This window comes from Homo sapiens, chromosome 4 (assembly GCF_000001405.40).
Source record: "Homo sapiens chromosome 4, GRCh38.p14 Primary Assembly".
Lineage (NCBI taxonomy): Eukaryota > Metazoa > Chordata > Mammalia > Primates > Hominidae > Homo > Homo sapiens.
Window position 1 is genome coordinate 174,679,550 of NC_000004.12, and position 17,969 is coordinate 174,697,518.

The following is a 17,969-nucleotide window of genomic DNA, read 5'->3' on the forward strand; positions in this document are numbered from 1 at the left end:
AAAGAAAGAAAATCAGTGTATTGAAGAGATACATGTTTGTTGAAGCCCTATTCACAATAGCTAAGATAAGGAACCAACCCAAGTGTCCCTCAGTGGAAGAATGGATAAAGAAAATGTAGTGTATATACACAATGGAATATTATTCAAACAAAAAAGAATGCAATTCTATCATTTGTAGCAACATGGATAGAACTAGATGAAATAAGCCAGGCATAGAAAGACAATATCACATATTATTATTCACATGTGGGAGCTAAAATAATTGACTTCATGGTTGTAGTAAAGCAAATAGTGGTTTCGAGAGGCTGAGAAGAAGGCAGGTGAAGAGGTTGGTGAGTGGGTTTAAAAATACACTTAGAATGAATAAATTCTAGTGTTCAATAGCATAATGGGGACAATTACAGTTAACAATACTTTATCGTACATTTCAAAGTAGAAAGAAGAAAAGATTTGGAATGTTCCCAACACAAAGAATTGATAAATCTATGAGGTGATAGATGTCCCAATTACCCAGATTTGATCATTACAGATTTTATGTTTGTATCAAAATATCACATGTACCTCCAAAAACATGTACAGCTATTATGTATCTATAAAAATTAAAAAATGTTTTTATAATATTGCTGGGAAAGAAAATAAAGGGATACACACATGAACACAAATATACACCATTGCTTGTACATAAATAAATATACTCAGTATATGTGGATCTGATGAGATAAAAGAACAAGTTGGACAAAAAAATCCATCACTTATGCATGGCAGCAGACCCCAGAAATACAGTGATCAACAGAATAAATATAATACAAACTTAGGGCAATGAAAGAAACATGCAAAAAATAAGTAAACATAAAATTGAATGATATAATTTCAGATGGTGAAAGCAGAATTTGGGCGTTTAACACATATTGTTACATATGGATGTTTCAAGAGTTGGCATTTGAATAACCCTGAAGAAAGTGGGAGTATTAGGCTTGGAACAATTTCAGGAAGAACTTTACATGCAGAAGGAAGAGCAAGAGCAAAGGCCCTGAGACAGACAGAGATGAGTTTGGTGTATATAAGCAAGCAAGTCATTGTGGCAGGGTATTACGGAGCAAGGGGAAGAGAGGTAAAAGATTTTGGAGAAATTATTAGAAGGAGACAGATCATAGGATGCTGTAGCACATAACTAATAAATACTTCAGGATAGTGAAAATAAAACTGAATAAATCCTCTAATTTTGTGCAATTAATTTGTGTATGAAAACATTTTTAACTTAAGTATATTTCATTTTCTGGGGGGAAAGGGTATTTTATAAATGTGGTTCTTAGGTAACCTACTATTGTTGTTTGTTGTATTTTCACAAGCAACATAAAAGGTATATGTGGTATCTAGGCCTATTATTGGAAAACAAAAGATTCTTGTGTAATGTAAAAGCAAATATGAAATGGAGTCTGGGATCTGAAGCAAATTAACCACATACTTGAATGAGGACTCTATGAGATGCTTTTATTCTCTACATAATTTGGGCACGTTATTTTGCTTCTGGACAGTACAGTGCTTCTAGAATGTAAAGTTGTAAGATCTCTACGATACCACCCAAGATGTCCCATTCCTTGCTTATAGTAGGCATTCATAAATGTAAGTTCTTTTCCTTTAAGCTGTAATAGCTCATTTGATAACTCAAGGAAGTATGCAAACTTACTTTACACTAAGGAAGTGTCTTGAGACCCTCTATCATAAAAATTCATCCCTAATTGATGTTTATAACTTCACCTCTTGTTCTGGATTAAATGATATCTCCCTAAGATTCATGTCCACCCAGAATGTGTGAATGTGAACTGACTTGAAAATAAAGTATTTGCAGATACAATCAAGTTAAAATGAAATTGTCCTGGATAAGAGGGGGTCCCAAATCCAACATTACTTATGTCCTTATAGAAAGAGGGAAATTTGGACATGGAAACACAGACACACAGGGGAATCCCATGTGACTCTGGAGGCAGAGACTGAAATGATGCATCTGCAAGCTGAGAAACAAGGTTTTCCAGAAATAGGTAGTCAGGAAGAGACAGGGAACAACTCTTCCCTAAAGCTTTGAGGGAAAGCACGGCCCTGCTGACACCTTGAATTTTGGACTCCTACCCTCCAGAACTGCGAGAGAACACATTTCTGTTGTTTTAAGACACCGTTTGTGATAGGTTATTATGGCAGCCCTAGAAAACTAATATACCTCCCTAAGCCAACTCTAGGGGATTTTTAGCATCTGTCTAAGGGAACTGAGCAAGGACAGTGCTATTGACTTGCCTGCTCTTTATCTTTGTGTTGAGATGTTAAACTTGAACTCCCTAATAAGTTAGATATCAGCTTCATCTCTGAGTTAAAAGGAAAATGGTAGTGACTTTTTGATCCGATATTGTGAATTTGCTAAGGAGATAAGAGAGACTAGGGACTTTGAATAGTGAAAGGTCACAGCACAGTTCTGGAAAATGCTGAGTCCACGATGAATCATAGTTACTGTAATGAAATGATAAGAACAGAAGCTGATGCTAGTGGGAGGTCATGTACTCACCACAATGGAGTGATGCCTCAATCATGGGCTGTTTAATGGCATTCAGAGAATTCCATTACTTTCTAACTGTATGTATACATTCTAACTGTATAGTTAGAATACGTCTTATGGAAATAGCCCATGTTAGTTAAAGCAACTGAACAGAATTTGCCGATGTACAAATATCACATTGAGTCTCTCAATTCTTAGTGTTGAGAACTATATCTGATATTTATCTCAAGTGTCTTAGTGTGAATAGTAGATGCTTAGGTAAAAATACACTGAAATGCACGAAAATATGACAAAGGGAAAAATTAGGCAACAAAGCTTTTTTCTTTTTTAAAAAATGCAATTTAAAAAAAAATGTTCTTAACAGATACAGTGTTTACTGCCCAAGAATGGTTAAAAACACATTTTATTGTTCACAGAAATTAAAGGAATAGTTTTGGAAACATTATTACTATGTAATTATGAGCTTTTCATTAAAAATTATTTAAAGATAATTGAACACCAAGCATTACTTTCGTCTCATACAGACCAATTATTTAACAATATGCAATGAATCAAAGTATTCATAGGTTTCAAATGCATCCATTTTCTGCTATATAAGAAAAACATTGATCTATGAACAGTTAAATAACTTAGCATTATAATGAAGAAACATCTGGATATCATAAAACCACAAGTAGTAAGTGTAAAGAACACTACTCAACCCCTACCTGTATTGTAATGTTTAGTGCAGTATCGTAAATCTTTTTCTTCTTTCAACAGAAACTGGGGCAAAGTGAGTCCTTCTGCCACTTGTACGGGTGCCTCATCTTGCCATTCAAAAATGAGATCATTCATTGTGTACCCAACTAGGCAAAACATAATAAAAATATGAATAGTCTAAAAAGGGCATTCAAAGAAAAGAAATGCAAATTACTTTATAGTCACATAGGATGAGAAGACCAAACAGTGTCATCTTATAGTAACTCTGTGGATGGAGCTATTCATTGCCCAATTCCGTTTCATAAATGTCTGTTGAAGTCTATTCACGTGGAACTCCCACCAAATAATATGAGAAAACAAAATGGACTCATTAAAAGTATACCATGGCATGTCAAAACTTGAAGGGGCATGCATATACATTCTTTCCTTGGGATGGGTAGCTACTAGATTAATTTTGTAATTTTCATTTTGATTTCATTCCATCTGGTTTCTCCTTACTTTCTTTCAAATTATTCAGGACTTTCTCAATAAAAACTGAAATTGTCACTCGTTAGAAAATGACTTTTTTTTTTTTTGAGACGGAGTCTCACTCTGTCACCCAGGCTGGAGTGCAGTGGTGTGATCTCAGCTCACCGCAACCTCAGCCTCCTGGGTTCAAGTGATTCTTGTGCCTCAGCCTCCCGAGTAGCTGGGACTACAGGCACATGCCACCATGCCCTGCTAATTTTTGTATTTTTAGTAGAGACGGGGTTTTACCATATTGGCCAGGCTGGTCTCAAACTCCTGACCTCATGATCTGCCTGCCTTGGCCTCCCAAAGTGCTGGGATTACAGGCGTCAGCCACCGCGCCCAGACAGAAAAATGACTTAAACTTAGTGTAAGAATAAATGTCAGAAATCTCTTAATTATATACAGATTGCTCAAGGATTTAGGCATGTTAATTTTACTTCTGCTGTGTTTTGAATCTCTCCAGAGTTGCATGTAGATAGCATTTATTTCTGTGCACTTAAACCCATTTAGAAAATATCTACAAAGCAAAAATGGAGAGGAAATAGAAATTGATTTTTTCGTGAAGATTTTGATACACATTTCATCATTTAATGATTCACCAATTTCTTAGATTAATTTGAATTAAGTACTTAATTCAAAGAGAGGGTAGCATTCATTATTGATATATATGGGCTTTTAAAATTTCCATCCTTTATAAATAGTCAAGGTTTGGGCCAGACACATTATATTTTTATCATGGAAAAATTTCAACTCCTTAAGCCATAATGTTGAATAGAATTGGAGTATTTTCTTTAGAATTTCTTGAACAGGCAAATGAAAGCTTATTATAGAACTCATGTATTTTCTTTTCTCTTTGGAACATCTACACCAGTATATTGCTGGCAGCTATTGTATTTTAAAAAAAAGTATATTTTCACTACCATAAAGGATTCTCTTTTTCCCCCTCATGAAAATAAATAACAACTTGGGGTTAAAAAAAAAAGAAAAAGAAAATGACTTAAACTATAACATTTGTGGGGGAAAAGTACTACCACATAATGCCTCCTTGATTTAATCATTAAACATGGGACAGTTTGTGGAAGTGGAAACCTTTGCACATAATATCAGGGAATTCAGGATAGAATTGATTAATGGATTTTGTAATAGGTCAGCAGCCTTTAGTAAACTAAAATTTCATATTTCTATATGGGAGGTATCTAAGAACTGCAGATTTTTATCTTCTCCTTCCCTCTGAGTGAGAAGCTATTGAAATGTATGTTTAAAGACTACTGCACAAAATGAGTCAAAAGTGAATGAGACCTGTGAGGCAGAATTGTTGTTACTTTGATCAATGAGTTTCTTGATGCACAATTACCATGGAGGTAGAGAGAGGAGGCACGGTGTGGCCTCTGAACCAAGTCAAATGGTCGGTATGTTAAAAGCGCTTGGGCGCAGTGTCTCACATCTGTAATACCAGCACTTTGGAAGGCCGAGGCGGGCCGATCAGCTGAAGTCAGGAGTTTGAGACCAGCCTGGCCAACATGGTGAAAGCCCGTTTCTACTAAAAAACACAAAAATTAGCCGGGCGTGGTGGTGGGCACCTCTAATCCCAGCTACTTGGGAGGCTGAGGCAGGAGAATCATTTGAACCTGGGAGGCGGAGGTTGTAGTGAGCTGAGATCGACCATTGCACTCCAGCCTGGGCAACAGAGTAAGACCCTGTCTCAAAAAACAAAACAAAACAAAGCAAAAAAAACAAAAACAGAAGCTCCAGGTCTGTGAGGCAGCACAGAAGGGAAATGGTCCCAAACAAATTCTCCTGGAAACAAGCTTGTATTGTAGAGAAGAGGCTATGTGAGTGACTGGAAACAACTGGCATGGAGCTGGTTAAGCTGAATAGAACATTGAGTAGGGAAAGGAACTGATCACCTTCCACCCTCCCCAATACCTGGGAAAAACTCTCCCAGACACAGTGAAATCTGCTCCAGCTGTGGTGGTAGTGACTGGAGCCAGATGCCCTACCACACTTGACCCCTAGGTATATCTCACACCGTCCACTCTACAGGCAGTGGAGATGGTAGTAGCAAGAGCATCAGTAACCAGATCTCTTTAGACTGTATGGGATTCTGCTTCTGAAGTTTTCAGCAGAAGTATCATCAGTGTGACGGCTCATTATGGAGCAAGTGCTATTCGGTAGAGTTTGTGAAAGTCATTGAGATTGAAGGAAGCACGCATCTACATCTGAATTTTGACTCCAGAACAGATGTGGGAACCTGAAGGACTGTCCCCTAGGCTGATGGATTTAACACAGCAGGGACTTAATACCTGCTTATACTAGAATACATTTCATTGACCCCTGCAATTAATAATGATTTGATTGGTAATAATAGAAAGCTTTCACTTTCATTCATAAATCCTTTAATATGTCCATTATAAATACCATTTTACCGAGAAAGTAGATGCACATTTCTCAATGATTTAAGGATAGCAAAATAGGCACCAATTCTACCTTCTGCCAGATAAGACATGTTTCTCATTCTTCCACACCTATAATCACTGAAGACAAAATATATGAGATTGTGTCCCAATTTAGACAGATGAATGGAAAAATGACCTGAAACTTCAATTCATTTTTATATTCTAAATTTTTCTCAAGATATTCTGTGAAATGAAACTAGCTTTATGAAATTCCTTCAAAGACAAGCTTTATTTAGTGGCTAATACAATTTATAGACAGTATATGTATCTTGCTTTTGTTTAAAACAGTCATCCACATTAGTTTAGGTATGTGTATTTCATAGTCATACTATTCTACTTCACTATGGTTCAAAAAATACTTAAGTTTGAAACCAGAAGGAAAATAGTAAGAGGCCATGGTTGGGGGCAATTCCTTTATTTGAGTAACTTACTGGTTGTTAATGATAACAACTAAGTGGTAATATTGTCTTAATAAACTCTCAAACATAATTTTAAAAAATCAATACTTTTTTACACAATTCAAAATGTTTTAAGATCCTTATGCTTTTGGTTGGCAGATCTTTATACAAGTCTGAGAATGCTAAAGAGAACAGACTGGTTAATGAGATCAAGCTTGTGAGCTGAATTACCTGATACCACAATAAGCTTCCCAATGAAAACTAATTTATTCAGGGAACAGACATTAACCCTAACTTCAGTCAACAATCTCATATGGTAGCTACAATAAAACATGTAAACCAATGGCTCAGGGCAACCAAACGCTTGTTTTACCAAATAGTTACTTATTGAGTACCAACTGTAAGGAAGATGTCCTGCTAGGCTTCAGGCAATGTGAGATATTATTGCCGAGTAAAGAGTAAGTGGCACGAGACAGGCAGAAACTGCTGTGTGCATTTAGCGCGGGGTTCTGTGATATCTACCTAGGCCTCATTTGAGCTGGATCTTGAAAACAAGGCAGGGGCTTCATATAAAGTATGCAAAAGAAGGTGAGGCACTTCAGGCTCAAGAAGCAGCAAAATCATTTGAAAGAAACTGCGAACTCCCAAGGTTTATAATAGCAATGGGAACAGCTTCATTTGTCTAGAGCCAGTTTGCATGAAGAAGCATATAAAGTGTCAAATAATGTAAGATGATGTAAAGTTCAAATTTCCAGTTTAAAATTTTGATCATTGGAATCTTTTGAGCAAGGGGTGAACCACAAAATTTGTGCTTGAGTAGCATTACTCTACCAGGATCCTTTCATGGAATTCACAAGGTCAAAACTGCTTTCATAACCATAATAAGACATTTGCCTTTTTCATTGAGTCAACATTTGCCCTGATGTTGAAAAAACAATGGTGGGTAAAACTTCTAGTGCTTTAACACAAATAAAGGGGCTGGCACCAAACTGTGCTAGGAGTTACTGTATTTTTACTGCCATATCTTGCAGCAAAAACAATCCCATTTTTATTTATGAATGTCTTTGATCCTTCATGAAACAGTAAATATCTTACAGTAAAAACAATGCCACTTTTATTTCGGAATGTTCTTGATCTTTGATGAAGCATTAACAATTATTAATTTTAGTAAATTTGGACCCTATGTAAGTACCTTTTAATATTCTGTGTGTCAAAATGGGAAGTCTGCACAAAATACTCAGCTGCAGGCTGTAATATGATTCTTTCAAGGAAAATCACTGGTGTGTTTGAGTTGCAAGCTGAACTAGCTTGGGGTTTTCGTGAAATACTATTTTTTATGTGAAAAAAATGGGTGGAAACTGGTTACTGTGCCTAGGTATTTGGCAGACCATTTTCTCAAAGATGAAGGAAGTGAACTTATCTGAACTTGTCATGTTAAGGGAACAACAGACAGTATTTGCTGTCAATGATAAATTTTGAACTTTGAAGTCAAAATTGGAATTTTGGAGAAATTGTTGTTACACCATGAGCTTCATAGCTTCCCAATACTTAAGAGATTTTTTGATGGGCTTGATGGTGACATCCACAAATGTGATACTTTGATATGTACGATGAAGTGTGTCAGCTGTTTGGAAGATCTAAATAACTCATCAATCTGATATTTTCAAAATGACCAAAACATGTTTAAAAAGCATACATGAAAGACCCATTCAAAGTGCAAGGTAGACAAGTTAGTTTTAATTTAAAAGAGTAGGAAGAGTTCATTGATATGGTTTCCAATTCCACATTGCAATTAATCTTTAAGAGACTAAAAGTTTTTTGCCTTCAGAAGAAGGCAAAACAAAACAAAACAAAACGAAAACCCTCTCATTCTTCTGCAGTGGTCCACAAGGATTATAAGTCAGAGGTAACACTTCAGTAGATAATTTAACCAAAATTGGCACATAATTAACTATGTGTTTACAGAAAAAAAAGGAAAATTTCAAAGTTTTCAGTCTAAGTCACTGACAAGTAGCTATGCAACAATATTTGCTTGTATTTCATACCTCATGACATTACAGTAGCTTTCTTTGACCATCTAATAAAACACCTTTCCTCCAGTTGCTCTACCTTACCTATTTTCTGTTTATTTTTTCCATAGTACTTATCCTTACCTGACATCATATATATATATATATATATATATATATATATATATATATATATATATATTCATCAGGTTTTGACATTATATATATTCATCAGATTTTTTATTTTGTTTTCCTACTTTGTCCCCTAGAATTTATTCTTTATAGAAGCAGAGACTTATTCTGTTTTAGTCAGTGGCATATTTTCTATTACCTAAAATAGTATGTGGCCAGCATATAGCAGGTGCTTGAATATTTGAATTAGAAATAGAGAAGGGATAAAGGGGAAGGAGGAAGTGTGTGTGTGTGTGTGTGTGTGTGTGTGTGTGTGTGTGACGTTATTTTGGGTTGCCTTGAATTTGAGATGGTAGCAGAAGATGCAGGTGTTGAGCCTAAGAAGTCTCAACATTGACTTATATGTTGAAGGTAGTTGAAATCATGGAACTAGATATTGGAAATGAGTTTAGGATTGGAGATTTAAGTTAAGAATCACTATCTACATATACTAATTAAAATTATTGATTATTTGAAAACATCAGAGAGGGAATATGTAAATGAAGAGGAAGAGCTATAAAGAATCTTAGAGAACGCTTAGGAAGAGAAAAGTGATGACAGGAAAGTAATAATCAAAACAGAAAATCCAAAGAGGTACATTTCAGCTAAATAGAAATGAGAGTATCTAATGGAATTGTCTGATCATAGGATTTTAAGGTGATAAGTTTCCCACAAGCAGAGGCTGGGAAATCATTTTTCAGGTATAAGAGACATTCAATGTTTTAGTTAAAACTAACTGGTTTATTTAAAGTAGATGAACTCTAAGGCTTTCCAACTCTTTGGTTTTATAAAACAATTAAATATAGCTTTACAAACCTGTCTAATTAAAATGCACTATAAAATAAAACAATAAGAAGCATTTGGTTCTGTTATTGAAATAGGAAGACTCATCAAAGGAATCAAAGATAAAATTTAGAAAGAAATCTAAGTATGTATACACATCTAATAATTGTACTATTTGCAAGTATTGCAGTAAGAATAGTGGAATATCAAATGGACCATAGCAATATGAATATCTGTGTAGCAGCAAAGTAAGATGTAGATATAATCTTGAGAGATGCGGAAAAAGCCTCTGAAGCCTGACTTCTTTATATTTTGCATAAATTTATGGAGTACAAGTATAATTTTGTTACATGCATAGATTGCATAGCATTGAAGTCACGGCTTTTAGAGTATCCATTACCCAAATAATGTACATTATATCCATTAAGTAACTTCTCAACCTCCCCCTCTTCCCACCCTGTCAGCCTTCTGAGTTTCCTCTGTCTATCATTCTACACTCCGTCCATATGTTCTGCAGCACTATCCACCGTAGCAAAGATATGGATTATTTATGAATCTACAAAATGCTCTAGGCTAACCTTGAATGTAAACAGGCTAAATGCCCCACTTAAAAGGCACAGAGTGGTAAGTCGCATTAAAAAAAAAAAAAAAAAAAAAAAAAAAAAGCAAGACCTAATGGTATGCTGTCTTCAAGAGACCTATCTCACAAGTAATAATATTCATAGGCTCAAAGTAAAGGGATGGAGAAAAATTTGCCAAGCAAATGAAAAACAGAAAAATTCAGGAGTTGCAATCCTAGTTTCAGACAAAACAGATTTCAAACCATTGATGTCCATCAGTGGATGACTAGATAAAGAAAATGTGGAATATATGCACAACGGAATACTATTCAGCCATAAAAAGAATGAAACTATGTCTTTTGCATCAACATAGATGTAACTGGCGGCCATTATCCTAAATAAAACAAGTCAGATGCAGAAGACAAATACCGCATGTTCTCACTTGTAAGTGGGAAAAAAATAATGTGTACACATGGACTTAGAAGTTATTTAAACACTATAACTTTATTTGTATATTTGTTTTCTGTTAGAAGGGCCTACTTCTTTATTATTTTCAAAACTACCTTTACCATGCATAGACTTTTATATTTCAGATTAATATCCAATTGAAAATCATGTTAGTATTTTCATTTACATTGCATTGAAATTATGGCTCAATTCTGAGAGAATAACATTTTCACAATAATGTATTTAAATAACCTCAGGAATGGACAATTTAGATGAATGGTTCAAAACAGAGTCCAAAATCAGACCTATGTGTGGAAATTTAAGGTAAAAATGACACTTTTTGTTGTGTAGTTTTTGTTTGTTATTATTGTATTTATTTATTCAGTTTTAAATTTTAGGTTTGAGGGTACATTTGAAAGTTTGTTACATACGTAAACACATGTCACAGGGCTTTGCTGTACATATTATTTCATCACCTAGGTATTAAGTCCAGTATCCAATAGTTGTCTTTTCTGGGCCTCTCCCTTCTCTTCCTCTCCCACCTCAAGTAGATGCCAGTGTCTGTTGTTCCCTTCTTTGTGTTCATAGGTTCTTATCATTTGGTTCCCACTTATAAGTGAGAACATGAGGTATTTGTTTTTTGCTTCCTGCAATTAGTTTGCCAAGGATAATAGCCTCCAGCTCCATCAATGTTCCCACAAAATACATGACCTTGTTCTTTTTTATGGCTGCATAGTATTCCCTTTTCTATATGTACCACATTTTCTTTATCCCTTTATCCAGCTTGTCATGGATGGGTATTTAGGTTGATTTCAAGTCTTTGCAATTGTGAATAGTGCTGCTGTAAACATTCGTGTGCATGTGTCTTTATGGTACAGTGATTTATATTCTTCTGGGTATATATCCAGTAATAGAATTGCTGGGTTGAATGGTAGTTCTGCTTTTAGCTCCTTCAGGAATGGCCATACTGCTTTCCACAATGGTTGAACTTATTTACACTCTCACTAACAGTGAATAAGTGTTCTTTTATCTCTGCAACCTCAGCAGCATCTGTCATTTTTTTGACTTTTTAGTAATAGCCATTTTGACTTTTTAGTAATAGCCATTTTGACTAGTGTAAGATGGTATCTCATTGTGGTTTTGACTTGGATTTCTCTAATGGTCAGTGATGTTGAACTTTTTTTCATAAGAAAAAATGTGCTGGCCACTTGTCTTCTTTTGAAAAGTGTCTGTTTGTCCCCTCTCCCCTCTCCCCTCTCTCTCCCCACGGTCTCCCTCTCCCTCTCTTTCCACGGTCTCCCTCTGATGCCCAGCCAAAGCTGGACTGTACTGCTGCCATCTCGGCTCACTGCAACCTCCCTGCCTGATTCTCCTGCCTCAGCCTGCCGAGTGCCTGCGATTGCAGGCGCGCGCGCCGCCACGCCTGACTGGTTTTCGTATTTTTTTGGTGGAGACGGGGTTTCGCTGTGTTGGCTGGGCTGGTCTCCAGCTCGTAACCGCGAGTGATCCGCCAGCCTCGGCCTCCCGAGGTGCCGGGATTGCAGACGGAGTCTGGTTCACTCAGTGCTCAATGGTGCCCAGGCTGGAGTGCAGTGGCGTGATCTCGGCTCGCTACAACCTCCACCTCCCAGCTGCCTGCCTTGGCCTCCCAAAGTGCCAAGATTGCAGCCTCTGCCCGGCCGCCACCCCATCTGGGAAGTGAGGAGCGTCTCTGCCTGGCCGCCCATCGTCTGGGATGTGAGGAGCCCCTCTGCCTGGCTGCCCAGTCTGGAAAGTGAGGAGCTTCTCTGCCCGGCCGCCATCCCATCTAGGAAGTGAGGAGTGTCTCTGCCCGGCCGCCCATCGTCTGAGATAAGGGGAGCGCCTCTGCCCCGCCGCCCCGTCTGGGATGTGAGGAGCGCCTCTACCCGGCCACCACCCCGTCTGGGAGGTGAGGAGCGTCTCTGCTGGGCCGCCCTGTCTGAGAAGTGAGGAGACCCTCCGCCTGGCAACTGCCCCGTCTGAGAAGTGAGGAGCCCCTCCGCCCAGCAGCCACCCTGTCTGGGAAGTGAGGAGCGTCTCCACCCAGCAGCCACCCCGTCCGGGAGGGAGGTGGGGGTCAGCCCCCGCCAGGCCAGCCGCCCCATCCGCGAGGGAGGTGGGGGGGTCAGCACCCCACCCGGCCAGCCGCCCCGTCTGGGAGGGAGGTGGGGGGGTCAGCCCCCCGCTCGGCCAGCCGCCACGTCCGGGAGATGAGGGGCGCCTCTGCCTGGCCGCCCCTACTGGGAAGTGAGGAGCCCCTCTTCCCGGCCACCACCCCATCTGGGAGGTGTACCCAACAGCTCACTGAGAACGGGCCATGATGACAATGGCGGTTTTGTGGAATAGAAAGGGGGGAAAGGTGGGGAAAAGATTGAGAAATCGGATGGTTGCCGTGTCTGTGTAGAAAGAGGTAGACATGGGAGACCTTTCATTTTGTTCTGTACTAAGAAAAATTCTTCTGCCTTGTGATCCTGTTGATCTGTGACCTTACCCCCAACCCTGTGCTCTCTGAAACATGTGCTGTGTCCACTCAGGGTTAAATGGATTAAGGGCGGTGCAAGATGTGCTTTGTTAAACAGATGCTTGAAGGCAGCATGCTCGTTAAGAGTCATCACCACTCCCTAATCTCAAGTACCCAGGGACACAAACACTGCAGAAGGCCGCGGGGTCCTCTGCCTAGGAAAACCAGAGACCTTTGTTCACTTGTTTATCTGCTGACCTTCCCTCCACTATTGTCCTGTGACCCTGCCAAATTCCCCTCTGCGAGAAACACCCAAAAATGATCAATAAAAAAAAAATAAAAAAAAAAAAAGAAAAGTGTCTGTTTATGTCATTTGCCCACTTCTTAATGGGGTTGTGTGTTCTCTTATTGTAAATTTGTTCAAATTCTTTATAGATGTTGGGTTTTAGCCTTTGTCAGATGCATAGTTTTCAAATATTTTCTCCCATTCTGTGGGTTGTCTGTTTACACTGTTGATAGTCTCTTTTACTGTGCAGAAACTCTTAAATATAATTAGATCCCACTTGTTGATTTTTGTTTTTGTTGCAATTGCTTTTGGTGTCTTTATCATGAAATCTTTGTCCATTTTTATGTCCAGGATTGTATTTCTTAAGTTATCTTCTAGAGTTTTTACAGTATTGGGATTTACCTTTAAATATTTAATCCATCTTGAGTTGATTTTTGTATATGGTGTAAGGAAGGGGTCCAGCTTCAATCTTTTGCATATCACTAGCCAGTTATCCCAGCACCATTTATTGAATAGGGAATCTCTTCCCCATTGATTTTTTTTGTCAGCTTTTTCAAAGATCAGATGGTTGTAGATGTTTCATCTTCTTTCTGGGCTCTCTATTCTGTTCAGTTGGTCTATATGTCTGTTTTTGTACCAGTACCCTGCTCTTTTGGTTACTCTAGCCTTGTAGTATAGTTTAAAGTTGGGTAGCATGATGCCTCTATATTTTGCTTAGGATTGCCTTGGCTATTCAGGCTCCTCCTTGGTTCCATATGAATTTTAAAATAGTTTTTTTCTAGTTCTGTGAAGAATGTCATTGTTAATTTTATAGAAATAGCATTTAATCTGTAAATCGCTTTGGGCTAACCTTAAATGTAAATGGGATAAATGCCCCACTTAAAAGGCACAGAGTGGCAAGCTGGATTTAAAAAAAAGACCTAATAGTATACTGTCCTCAAGAGACCAATCTCACAGGTAATGACACCCACTGCTCAAAGTACAGATATGGAGGAAAATCTACCAAGCAAACGGAAAACAGAAAAAGCAAGGGTTGCAATCCTGGTTTTAGACCAAACAGATTTAAAACCAAAAAAGATAAAACATGACAAAGAAGGGCATTACATAATGGTAACGGGTTCAATTCAACAAGAAGACCTAACTGTCCTAAATATATATGCACCTACCACAGGGGGCATTGAGATTCATAAAGCAAGTTCTTAGAGACCTACAAAGAGAAACAGACTCCCACACAATAATAGCGCGAGACTTAAACACTCCACTGACAGTATTAGTCAGATCATCAAGTCAGAAAAGTAAAAAACATATTCAGAATGTAAACTCGACATTGGACCAAAAGGATCTGATAGACCTTTACAGCACTTTCCACCCAAAACCAACAGAATATACTTTCTTCTCTTCACTACAAGGCACATACCCTAAAATTGACCATGTAAGTGGACAAAAAACAATCATCAACAAATTTAAAACTAATGAAATCATACCAAACACACTCTTGAACCACAGTGCAATCAAAACAGAAGTCCGCACTATGAAAATTACTCAAAAGCATGCAAACACATGACAGTTAAACAACATGCTCCTGAACAACTTTGGGGTAAATAATAAAATTAAGGCAGAAATAAAGTTATTTGAAAACAATGAGAACAAAGATACAACATACCAGAATCTCTGGGACACAGCTAAGGCAGTGTTAAGAAGGACATTGATAGCAGTAAATGTCCACATCAAAAAGTTGGAAAGATCTCAAATTAACAGCTTAACTTCACAACTGAAAGAATTAGAGAAGCAAAAACAAATCAACCCCAAAGCTAGCAGAAGACAAGAAATAACAAAAATCAGAGTGGCACAGAAGGAAATCAAGCCACAAAAAAGCCATTCGAAAGCCAGGAGTTGTTTTTTTGAAAACATTAATAAAACATAGGCCACTAGCTAGACTAATAAAGCAGAAAAGAGAGAACGTCCAGATAAATATAATTAGAAATGATGAAGAGAATGTTACTACTGACTCCACAGAAATGAAAACAACCATCAGAGACTACCATGAACACCTCTATGCACACAAACTAGAAAACCTAGAAGGGGTGCTTAAATTCCTGGACACATACAGTTTCCCAAGAATAAGCCAAGAAGAAATTGATTTCCTAAACAGATCAATAACAACCTCCAAAATTGAATCAGTAATAAATAGCCTACCAACCAAAAAAAATGCCTGGGAGCTGAAAGATTCACAGAATGGTAGTTCTGAATTTTACCAGATTTGTACAAAGAAGAGCTGGTACCATTTTTACAGAAGCTATTCCGAAAAATTGAGGAGGAGGGACTCCTCCTCAACTTATTATATGAGGCCAGAATCATCTTGATACTAAAACCTGGCAAAGACGCAACAAAAAAAGAAAACTTCAGGCCAATATCCTTGAAGAACATCGGTGCAAAAATTCTCTACAAAATAATTTCAAACTGAAACCAGCAGCACATCAAAAGCTAATCCACCATGATCAAGTAGGCTTCATTCCCAGGATGCAAGATTGGTTCAACATATGCAAATCGATAAATGTGATTCATCATGTAAACAGAACAAAAGACAAAAATCACATGATTATCTCAATAGACTCAGAGAAAGCTTTTGATAAAATTCAACACCCTTTCATGTTAAAAACTCTCAATAAACTAGGTATTGAAGGAAAATACCTCAAAGTAATAGGACCCATCTCTGACAAACCTGCAGCCAACATTATACTGAATGGTCAAAAGCTGGAAGCATTCCCCTTGAAAACTGGCACAAGACGAGAATGTCCTCTCTCACCACTTTTATTCAACATAGTATTGAAAGTACTAGGCAGAGCTATCAGGCAAGACAAAGAAATAAAGGATATCCAAATAGGAAGAGGGGATGTCAAACTACCTCTGTTTGTAGATGACATTATTTTATGTCTAGAAAACCCCATAGTCTTGGCTCAAAAGTTCCTCCAGCTGATAAACAACTTCAGCAAAGTTTCAGGATACAAAATCAATGTACAAAAATCACTATCATTCCTATACACCAACAACAGCCACACTGAGAGCCAAATCAGAAAGGCAATTCAATTTACAATTGGCACAAAATAATAAAATAATAAAATACCTAGGAATAACCAGGGAGATGAAAGAAAGATCTCTACAATGACAATTACAAAACACTCCTTAAAAAAATTAGAGAAGACACAAACAAATGGAAAAATATCCCATGCTAATGGATAGGAAGAATCAATATCATTAAAAAAATGATGCTTTAAATTAATGTGGCAAAATTTTAATAAATGATGATGAGAAAAAATTCTATCCACTTAGAAAAAGGAGTGACGCAAAAAGAAAATCTAATTGTATTTAAAATATAAACATAATTTGTGCTATACAAGTTCTGGATTAAAGTAAATGATAATATTTTGTAATATTGGCATGTATAAAGCATAATTTTTAAAGAAAAACAAATTTTATTATATGTATATTTAAAACTTTACTATGAAAGATATTGTAAAGTTGAAACGTGAATAACATATGGAAAACAACATATGTAACAAATATAATACAATACAATATAATTTAATATAATATAATAATATTATAAAAATGAAAAGATAATTCTATATTAAAGGTTTAAACAGGCAACTTACAGAAGAAACAGCAATGGTTACTAAGTATGCAGGAAGAAAAGCTCAAACTAAAGGAAATGAAAATACAACAAAATACAAATTTATATCCATGAGATTAGATAAAAAACCTTAAATCTGACATTAAGTGGCAATGTTAATATGAGCTTGGTACAAAAATGTTTTTAAATTTACTGTATTTTTGTTTGAAATATCTTTTGGATTTATAATCATTCATATAGTATAGGTACATACACATATGTATTCATAGAAACAAACACAAATGCATATGTATGACAGAGAGAGAGAGGGAGAGAAAGTAAGGAAGAGAAAGTAAAAGGGAACTGGTAATGAGGCAAACAAAGTAGCTAAGGCTAGAAAGGAGGATTATGAGTAGAGGCTACTAATGCATTCATTTTTGTTTGTTTCTCAGTTTCTATTCAAATTTCCTAGCACAAACATACCAGTTTTGAAGAATACATTCAAATTTATTACATTATCACTTTTTAAAAATCATAAAATCTTTGGTGGTTTAAAAATAGCTTAAAAGACTACACATGAGAAAAGAGGTTATATAAAACTTTACACAACGGGTAAATATATAAAAGAAGCACTTATTCAAAGGGAGAATGTGGGCTGTGAATACACTTAAGTTGAAAACGAGTTTAAAGATTTACTAATAAATTATAGATTCACATTTTGTTTTAAAAGTAAACCAGAATCATATTTGGTCCAGCTATCTCAAAAGTTAGGCAGGGTTAGGGTGGAGACAGAGAGAGATTTCTAGTTTGACCCAGTTTGCAAATGCTTATGTTCTTAATTAGCAGCTGGAATTCAAAAAGCAGAAGGAAGAAAATGCTCACTCTTGGCACATGCTGACTATTGCTAGGAGAAATATTGCTCAAGTAAATTTCATTGACCTGACAAGGAACAACTGCTATGTCAAAACGCATTTAACTAAAACATTTTTATTTATAATTTGTGCATTTCATTT

General features: G+C 36.9%; 1 protein-coding gene across 9 annotated transcripts in view, besides 1 other annotated feature; it reads right to left on the minus strand.

The window, feature by feature from the left end:
• Window positions 1-17,969, minus strand: part of GLRA3 (glycine receptor alpha 3) — a 192,328-nt gene that overhangs the window by 42,630 nt on the left and 131,729 nt on the right. For all 9 annotated transcript variants that reach the window (XR_001741329.2, XM_047416196.1, XM_047416195.1 and 6 more), the window contains one exon: window positions 3,253-3,390. Coding sequence is in view for 8 of the 9 variants with exons in the window: in XM_047416196.1 (XP_047272152.1) it covers window positions 3,253-3,390 (138 nt within the window). In the remaining variant the exon portion in view is untranslated. The remainder of the gene's footprint in view (window positions 1-3,252; window positions 3,391-17,969) is intronic.
• Window positions 12,051-12,765: an enhancer, noted in NCBI's record as "H3K27ac hESC enhancer chr4:175612751-175613465 (GRCh37/hg19 assembly coordinates)". NCBI's record gives its function as "activates a minimal SCP1, AML or CMV promoter by ChIP-STARR-seq in primed H9 embryonic stem cells {active_cell/tissue: H9 hESC(primed)}" and the evidence as "EXISTENCE:reporter gene assay evidence [ECO:0000049][PMID:30033119]".